General features: G+C 42.2%; 1 protein-coding gene across 4 annotated transcripts in view; it reads right to left on the reverse strand.

Moving 5' to 3' along the window:
• Positions 1 to 9,739, reverse strand: part of LONRF2 (LON peptidase N-terminal domain and ring finger 2) — a 50,627-nt gene extending 40,888 nt beyond the window's left edge. For 3 of the 4 annotated variants that reach the window (NM_198461.4, NM_001371783.1, XM_047443538.1), the window contains exon 1: positions 8,653 to 9,739. In NM_198461.4, the coding sequence (NP_940863.3) occupies positions 8,653 to 9,331 (679 nt within the window). In that variant the 5' untranslated portion in view covers positions 9,332 to 9,739. Of the gene's footprint in view, positions 1 to 8,426; positions 8,620 to 8,652 lie in introns of those variants that run through there. The other variant, XM_047443537.1, reaches the window with a different exon arrangement.
• Positions 9,740 to 10,019: the final 280 nt, after the last annotated feature.

A 10,019-nucleotide genomic window follows, 5' to 3' on the forward strand; every position in this document is an offset into this window, starting at 1 on the left:
ATTTAGTCTTTTAAAACACATAAAATAAATGCTTACACATTTTCTAAGGATTAAACCTTAGGCTCAACAAAACTAAAGGAGTTCTCCAAGGATCCCTCAAAACTAAGTGGAAGAGGAAGTGCAAATTATTAAAAGTCTTTGTGTAGAGAAAACATATGGAAGAAAAATGTACATATGTACTTTCCAAAGAATTGATGCAACATTTCAGTAGGTTCACCAATTAACCCCTCTATGGGGAAAAGTCATAAGAGGGCAGCCTAAGACCCAGGCTTTGAGAGGAAAAGAAGAGATGTCTACCACAACTGTGTTTAGGGTCGACCAAAGGCTGTTTTCCAACAGCAACCCAGAGCCACTGTTGTACTAGGAGCTAGGGTTACTGCTATAAAATCTATCAAATGTGTGCAGTGGTGAGAAATGGAGGATTACATGTTATTTTACACAAGTTAAATGAGCCAGGCGTGGTGGCTCACGCCTGTAATCCCAACACTTTGGGAGGCCGAGGTGGGCGGATCACTTGAGGTCAGAAGTTTGAGACCAGCCTGGCCAATATGGCGAGACCCCATCTCTACTAAAAGTAAAAAAATTAGTCAGGTGTGGTGGAACATGCCTGTAATTCCAGCTACTTGGGAGGCTGAGGCATGAGAATTGCTTGAACCTGGGAGGTGGAGGTTGCAGTGAGCCAAGACTGTCCCACTGCACTCTAGTCTGGGTGACAGAGTGAGACCCAGTTTCAAATAAATAAATAAACAAACAAATGGACACATAAAGCAATAAAAACTGGGTAGTGTTCTCTATGAAAAGAAAGAATAAGTGGCAATACTCCTCAAAGCCTATTTATTCAAATTGATGGAAGACTGTAATTACAGAGTCAAGTCCACAAATCTTAGGTGTATATCTCAACCTTTGCATGTGTACCCGTGCCATCATCATGTAGTTCATTCCCAGGGCCTAAGAAGGTTCCCTTGTGCACTATCCCACTCAGTGTGCCCCTCCTAAAGGTAACCACCATTCTCACCTCTGTCACTTTGGATTACTTTATCCTGTTTTCTAACTTCTATAAATGGATATTTATAAATGGAATGTACTTTTTTGTATCTGACTTCTCACTAAATTATCATTCTGTGAGATTCATTCTTATTGTTATATGTCTCAGTAATATTTTTAAATTAATATTTTAAAAAATTTAAAAATTGCTGTGTAATATTACACTGTATGACTTGATTTATTTACTCATTCTACTAGTGATGAACAATTGAACTGTTCCCCAAATGTTTCTGGCATATATAAATAAAGCTGCAATGAACATTCCTGTACACATATTTTGATGGACATAAGCATTCATTTTTATCTAGTATATACTCAAAAGTAGAAATGCCACATCAGAGGTTGTACGAGTTTAGCTCTAGCAGGTGCTAACAAACACATTTCTTAAGTTGTTGTACAAACTTATGCTTCCATCAGTAATTTAAGAGTTCCAATTGCTGCAAATAAAAACTAAGTATTGCCAGTTCTTTTCATTTCAGCTACTCTGGTGGGGATGTACTAACTTACTTTCATTTTAATTTGCATTTGAGCACTAATTATGTTGTGCAGTCTTTTAGATGTTAATTGCTCACTTTGAGATCTAGTTTTTAACTCTTTGCCTATTACGTAGTTTCAGCTAAAGTTGTTTCTATCAATGGTGTTAAGTGAGTACTTACTGTGTTTAGACAGATTGGCTTTTTCTTTTTGAATCATAGGCATTATTTATTCTGCATTAGAGGTCTCAGTAAGATATTTGTATACTCATCCCCTTCTCACTTTTTTGGGGGCCTCTGAGGAACAGAAGTTTTATTGTTATGCTTTTTGTGTCTTATTTAAGAAACAACTGCCTACCCCAAGTCCTTGAAAACAGTCTCCTATGACTCCTAGATACTTAATTGTAATTTTGTTATATGATGTGAGATAGGTATTCAGGTTTATTTTTTTCCATATAAAAAAGCAACTGACTCTTTTTTCCCCATTGAATTTTTCCCCATTGAATTCCATTAGCATCTTTCAGAAAATCAAGAGACTGTATATGTGAGAGTCAGTTTCAATGTGTCTATTTTTAAGCCAATACAATGCTGTCCTAATTACTGCAGCATTATAGTAAGTATTGGAATCTGCCAGTGTAAATCCTCCAGCTTTGTTGTTTTTCTTCACTGTTGCCTTGGCCATTCATCAATTTCCACCAAAAACACTGGCTAGGATTTTCTCTGAGATTGCACTGAATTTACCATTCAATCAGCAGAGAACTGACGTCTTGCCAATACTGAGTTTTGCAATCCATGAAAAAAAATGATATATCCATCCATTTAAGTCTGCTTTAATTTCTCTCAGAAATGTTTCATGTTTTCAGTGTATTGAAATGAAATTTTCAGTGTAGAGGTATTAAACATCTTTCAGCTATTTCAGGATTTATTCCAAGGAATTTGTTTACATAAATTGTTTAAAGTTTTTTTCCTATTTGTTTTTTCTAAGTATATAGTTATGTTTGATAACCTCTATATTGACCTTGTAGTCAGCAATCTGGATAAATCATTTATAATTTCTAATAGTTCCTACATTCTTCTGGAGTTTCTATGTATGCCAGGTCATCTACAAATAATGACAGTTTTTTGTTTTATCTTTTATTTTTCCAATCTTAATACATAGCTATCTAGAATCTCCAGTGAAATGCTGAGTGGCAGTGAGAATAAAACAGTGTTACCTTCTCATTCAATGGGAAAACATTATTTCATCATTAATTATGATAGCTGCTATCTCATTTTTGTAGACTTTTAAAAAATTAAGAAAGTTCCTTTTTATTCGTAGTTTCCTGAGAGATGCATCATATCATTTTTCTTTTTTCTGTAAAGATGGTGAATTACATTGCTTGATTTTCCAGGATTAAACAAAACTTAACCTGCTTGCTACTGATGTGATATTCTTTAAGGGTATCAATGGATTCAGTTTGCTAATATTTTATTTAGGATTTTTGCAACTATATTCGTAAGAAACATTGGGCTGTATTTTTCCTGTCTTGTTACTGATTTTGGCTCCTTTATTTCCTTCTTTGTACTCTCTTTGGATTCTATTTGCTTTTCTTTTCCTAGCATCTTGAAATGGAAGCCTAAAGATCACTGACTATCAGCTGTTCTTTGGTAGTATGGGCATTTAAAACAGTAAGTTTCCCTCTAAGCACTGTTGCATTGCATCCCACAGTGTTTGATATCTGTATTTTCATTATCATTCAGGCAAAATAGAAAATTTTCTGGCCGGGTGCGGTGGCTCACACCTGTAATCCCAGCACTTTGGGAGGCAGAGGCGGGCAGATCACGAGGTCAGAGATCGAGAGCATCCTGGCTAACACAGTGAAACCCTGTCTCTACTAAAAATACAAAAAATTAGCCAGGCGTTGTGGCAGGTGCCTGTAGTCCCAGCTACTGGGGAGGCTGAGGCAGGAGAATGATGTGAACCTGGGAGGCAGAGCTTGCAGCGTGCTGAGATCGTGCCACTGCACTCCAGCCTGGGCAACAGAGCGAGACTCCATCTCAAAAAAAAAAAAAAAAAAAAGAAAGAAAATTTTCTAATAATTATTAGAAATTCTAATAATTCTAATAATTATTAGATAATTAGAAAATTTTCTACTTTATGTTGTGATTCATTTTACCCATCATTATATAAAAATATATTGCTTAATTTCAAAATATCTGAAGATATTCTATTTATGTGCTATTTAATTTTAGTTTAAGTCCACAGTGTTTAAAGAACATATACAGTCTGGTTTCAATCTTTTAATATTTATTACGACTTCTTTCATGGCCTAATCCAGGAGTTGGCAAACACAACCACAGGCCAACTCCAACGCTCTGCCTATGGTCATGGGAGCCTAAATGGCTATGTTTTTGCAGTAGTTGTATGTAGTGACACATATTAATTAAATCTAAGTGCTGAAGTATGTTGTATCTATATCCTTACTTATTTTGCAATCCTTACTTTATCAGTTACTAAAAGTTTTGTTCAACATCTCCAATTATTTCCCCTTTTGCTTTTGTCTCCTTTTGTTCTCTCCATATGTGTGTGTGTACACTTGTTGTTAGGTGCATAAAAATTTAGGCATATTATTACACATTTTTTTTCTGTTGAACTGGCCCATTCATCATAAATGTCTTTATTTCTTCTGATATTCCTTGCCTTAAAGAATACTTTATCTGATAGTCACTTTGCCATATCAGGCTTTTGTTTGTCAGTCTTTGTTGCCATCCTACTAATTTTAACCTTTTTTTGTGTTCTTACACCTAAAGTTTACCTCGTGTGTAAACAGCATGTAGCTATACTTCACTTAATCCAATCTGCCAACATTTAGTTTTTAAATGGGAAATTTAGGTCTTCACATTTAATGTAAATTAAATCCCCATTTTTCTATTTCTTTTCTAGTTGTCCCACTTATTCTCTCCTTCTCTATTCTTCCCTCCCATTTTCTTTTGGATTAATCCAGTATTACTTTACTATTCCACTATAGCTTTTTTTTAATTTTACCTTCCTATTGGTGGTTACCCAAGACAACAGAATATGCAAACCTGATTTAGCAGTCTACTTTAAATTGGTACTGTTACTACCTCCAAAACAGTGTACAAACCATACAACAATTTAACTGTATTTACCCATTCTGGCTTTGTCCTGTTGCCATATCTTTCACTTTTATGTATGTTACAAATACCACAAGACATTATTATTGTTATTTGAAATAGTCAATATTGTCTCATATTGTTACACCTTCTAGCACTCTTTACTCTGTGCATTAGTTTCACGCTTCCATATGGATACGTTTCCTTTAGCCTGAAGACTTTCCCTCAGTATATCATGAAATGCAATTCTGATGGTAATAAAATCCTTTAGCTTGAGTTATTTCTTTGGTTTAAAGCACCTTGATTTTGTGAAAAATATTTTCAGGTAAAGAATTCCAGCTAGGTTTTTTTTTTCTTTCAGCACTTTAAAGACATTATTCCATTAGCTTCTAGCTTCAATAATTTTGTCTAAAAGTCAACTGTCAGTCTTCTATGATTCCTTCGAAGGAAATATGTCCTGTCTTCTCTAAATGCATTTAAATTCTCTTTATCTTTGATTTTCAGGAACTTGACTATAATGTACTTGGATGGGTTTTGTGTGTATGTTTGTGTGTGCACTTGTGTCCACCCTGTTGGGCTTAGTGAACTTTTTGATTCAGTGATTTAAAGTTTCTCATCAGATTTGGAAAATTCTCAATTACTTTTTTCTTTAAATATTTCTCTTGCCCTTCCCCTCTCTCTTCTTCCAGGATTCCAATTTCATCGATGTTGGAACTTTTGTCTGTGTCTCACATAACTCCCATGCTCTCTTTTAGTCTTCTTCTGTGATTCAGTTTGGATATTTTCTGTTAACTTGCTTCTGAGTTTTCTCATTCAGATTTCTGATGTGTGCCATCTGGTTTGTAACAAATCTAATTCTCAACTTCAGACATTGTATTTTGAATTTCCAGGATACCCACTTGGTTCTTTTTTATGGACAATTGTCTTCTGAATGCTTTATATTTTCATACATTTATTTACCTCTTTCAACATACGTACTAGTTATTTTAAATTCCACTCATAACTTATCGGCCAAAAGTAGTCACATGGCTCCACCTAATCACAAGTGGAGCGGGAAGTGCAATCCTACCTTGCCTGGGGAAGGTATAGAGATAGACCAGCACTAATGACTACCACACTTCGCTAAGGTCACATAATAAATAAGCATCAGACATCAGGTGTGGTGGCTCATGTCTATAATCCCAGCACTTTGGGAGGCTGAGGCGGGCAGATCACTTGACTACAGGAGTTGGAGATCAGCCCGGACAACATAGTGAAACACGTCTCTACTAAACACACACACAAAAAAAATACGAGGCATGGTGGTGCATGCCTGTAATCCCAGTTACCTGAGAGGCTGAGGCACGAGAATCACCCTTGAACCCAGGAGGCAGAGGTTGCAGTGACCGATATCATGTCACTGCAGTCCAGCCTGGGTGACAGAGCGAGACCTTGTCTCAAAAAAAAAAAAAGAAAAGGCCAGGCATGGTGGCTTACACCTGATATCCCAGCACTTTGGGAGGCTGAGGCGGGCGGATCACAAGGTCAGGAGATTGAGACCATCCTGGCCAACATGGTGAAACCCTGTCTCTACTAAAAATACAAAAATTAGCTGGGCATGGTAGTGCGTGCCTGTAATCCCAGCTACTTGGGAGGCTGAGGCAGGAGAATTGCTTGAACCAGGGAGTCGGAGGTTGTAGAGCCACGCCACTACACTTCAGCCTGGTGACAGAGCAAGACTCCGTCTTAAAAAAAAAAAAAAAAGTCAGAGCTTGGATCTAAACACAGGTATTTCTGATTCCAAACATCTGTGAACTTTTTTTTTAACTATATCAAAACCTCTTTAAAAGGGCTAATTTATTTTGAAATTAAATGTTTTCATAAAATTTTAAGCTAATCTTTGAATAGAAAAATGAATACATTCTATATAAGTTCTCATATGAATTTACTGAAATAGCCTATTTTAAAAACGTTTAAATTAGGTCTAATATATATACAGAAAAGCTAAAAATATAAGTATATAGTGCAATGAACTATTGCAAAGTGAACACACTTGTGTATCCATCCCCTAAATCATGAAACAGAACATCACCACTACCCCACAGATCCCTCTCATACTTCCTCACAATCACTATTCCCTTTTCATCCCCCCAAGGTAACCATTGTCCTTACTTCTAACATCCTACAGTAATTTTGTCTGTTTGGGCTTACAGATAAATAGGATCATATAGTAAAAATGCTTGAGTCTGGCTTCTTCCACTTAACATTATGTTTGTGAGATTTGTCCACATTGTAGTTTGTAACTGTAGTTGATTTATTTTCTTTCTGTATAGTATGCTATGAAAACATAATCATATATTCACCCCTTCTGCTCTTACTGGACATTTGGGTTGTGTGCACTTTTGGGGTATCTCTAACAATGACATACACTCTTGTATCTAATTGCACATTCTTTTGGGGGCACATATGCATATACCTCTTTGAAACTATTTGGCCAAGGACAGGCTTAACATCTGTAGATACTACCAAATATTTTTCAGGGGCATAATTTGCAGTCCCATTAGCAGCATATAAATATCACAGTTTTCATTTTTCTACATCTTCTCCAACATCTAAATACAGATGAAGTATTTCTGATGAAAATTTGATGTTGGAATTGGGTAGTGCAGTAAATGCAAAATATATAACGAATTTCAAAGGCTTAGTTTAAAAAAGTAAAATCTCAATTATTTTTTAAAATTGAAGGCATGTTGAAATAATATTTTGGATGTATAGGGTTAAAAATTGCTAAAATAAATTTCACCTGCTTTTTTCACCCTTTTAATGTAGCTACAAGAAAATCCCAAATTATGTGTGGCTTACACAATAGTTCTAATTGGATAGTGCTGCTCTAACACCATCAATACCTAAATTAGTAGAAAACTAAAAAATATGCCTGTTAAAGTATGGATATGTTGGTTGCAAAAACTACAGAATACTCGTTAGAAAAGCTGAGTTAAGTGCTCTATTCCAGCAGAGAATATCCCAATTTAGATACAGATATTGAACACTTGTTCAATATTTGGATCTTTTTTTTTGCAAGACAAAATTGAATGCTAGTCACTTTATAATTTGTGCCTTCTAAAAGGGAAAACCTTAATCCTAAGTTTAAAATAAAATGTGCACTGACTACAGCATGGTAGTAGATTATTTTAGTAACAAGAGATTCAACAAGTCTTCTCGGCTAGTGCTTTAAATCGTATATGCCCTATTATAAAACCGGTGAAACCAGAAAGCAAACCGTCCTCCTCACACTGCCCAAAACAACTGCCAATAGAGCGCATACTCATATGTCAAAGCCAAAACGATGACAGAAGTTTGGTCTTCCTTTCAGCTAAATAGTGTTAACAGGTGGTGGCTGGGTGAAGGCAGGAGAGTGCCTGTTGCTGGCCTTAGGCCTCAGATAAATAAGGAAATGACTGAATGAACAATTTAAAACTACACACACTAGTCAGTGTAACTATCTAGTAAGTTAAATACGCCATGACATCTAATGATGGCCTCTGAGACAGAGAGCAGGCTAGAGCCGGAGCGTTTGACGTGATTACAGCAGAGTGGAGGCGGTTCCTTCCTGGCTATATTAGCTGAAACCCAAAGCAAATCTTGCCCCAGCACAAGGCACCCCTTTCTGCGCCTGTAGTGTGTCAGCTATGTGCATTTTCCTTCAGGATGAGCAAAAATATTTCGTCATCCTCCCCGCTCCTCAACAGCGCAGAAGATGCCGAAAAGCAATTACAGGACCTTACAGAGCTGCTCCGGGGGCCGCGGGAAACTTACCAGCATCCTGGAAAAGACAAAACCAGTGGGGTGCACTTGGCCTCTCCTGGCTGCAGGGTGTGGCCGCCCCCACCTTTCACCTTCCCATCCTTAGGAAGCAAAGTGACCCCTAAGCCTAGACAAAGCTCTCGAAAGCCCAAAGCCTCGGGCCCACCGGCCAGCTCCCCACCCCGCTGCTGGGCCGGACAGGTGTAGGGGAGGCGGACCCGCCCCGCAGCCGACTCACCCAGCTCCAGGGCCTGGTCGCACCTGAGCAGCGCGGCCTCCGGCTGCTGCTGGCGCTGCAGGCTCCGCGCCTGGCCTGCCAGCCTGCGCAGCCGGCACTCGGCCGGGAAGCACTTCTCCAGCAGGCCGCTCAGCACCACGTTCACGCGCCGCACCTGCGGCCGCGCGGGCCCTGGCTCCACGCAGCGCTTGCAGACTGTGAGCCCGCAGGGCAGCGTCACCGGCTTATGCAGCAGCCGCCGGCAGCGCGGGCAGCCGAGCAGGTCGCGGGGCGCGCGGGGCTCCGGGGCCGGCCCTCCCTCGCCGGGCGCCTCGGGCTCGCCGCCCGGGTTCTCCGCGGACAGCGGCCGGTCGCGCAGGCCCACGGCGCGCACCAGGCCGCCCGCCAGCTCTTCCAGCTCCTCCGGCCGCAGCGCCCCGAGCCGCGCGGCGCCGCGGAACGCGCCCAGGGCTTCGGGGAGGCGGCCGGCGCGGGCCAGCGCGTCCCCCAGCCTCAGGCACAGGCCGCGGTCCGGCTGCGCCAGCCCGGCTAGCATGGAGCGAAAGAGCTCGGCTGCCATCTCGTAGTCGCCCGCGCGGAAGGCCTCGTCGCCCTCCTCTAAGCGCTGGGCGATCGGCTCCGCGCGGTCGCAGCCAGGACACTGGGGCGGCGGCGGCGGCGGGACCGGCTCGGGGCTCATCACCGCGGGGCTGCGACGACGCGGGTCCGGAGCGAAGGCGCGGAGCAGGGAGGATGCGCTGCTGCTGGGAACTGGCCGGCGGGAGCGCGGTCTCAGCCCTCGCCAGCAGCCACGCGCGTCTGGGGGCGGCGCGCTGCGAGCGGCTGAGACCGCGGGCGGGGGCGGGCGCCTGGCTTGGGCAGCGTCCTCAGCGCGGTGTGGGCGGCGAGCCCCGCAGGGCTGCAATCGTTCCGGGGTGGGGGCCGGGACAGGCACCGCGGGCGCAATCTGAGCCCCTGCCCACGCGCAGCGGCCTCTCAGTCCCGCCGGCTTAGGTAACCCAGGTCGCTGCGGTAACGCAGTGACCGCGCTCCAGGTCCGCGTCTCTTGCGATGCTTCCCCCACTCGCCTGAGGGCTCCTGCGCGACTGCGCGCGCGTCCTCTGCCTGCCGCCTCCCCGCAGAGGTGCCGGGGCCCTGGGAGCAGGTGGCCTTGGCCGCGGGCTGCTGGCGCGCCGGCACCGCGGCACCTGCTCTTCCCCAGAGGCCTGGCCGCCCCCACAACCTGTGGCTCCGCTTAAGCAAGAACCCAGGAAAAGTCACCAAACGCATCACGCATCTCTAGCTTCGACTTAGGAAATTGTCCTAAATGACTGGGGAGGCTGAAGTGGGCACCCAGAGGCCCCGCCTCAGCGAGCTTCTTCTCTTAA

The sequence above is a fragment of the Homo sapiens genome, chromosome 2, assembly GCF_000001405.40.
Source record: "Homo sapiens chromosome 2, GRCh38.p14 Primary Assembly".
NCBI classification, from domain to species: Eukaryota; Metazoa; Chordata; class Mammalia; order Primates; family Hominidae; genus Homo; species Homo sapiens.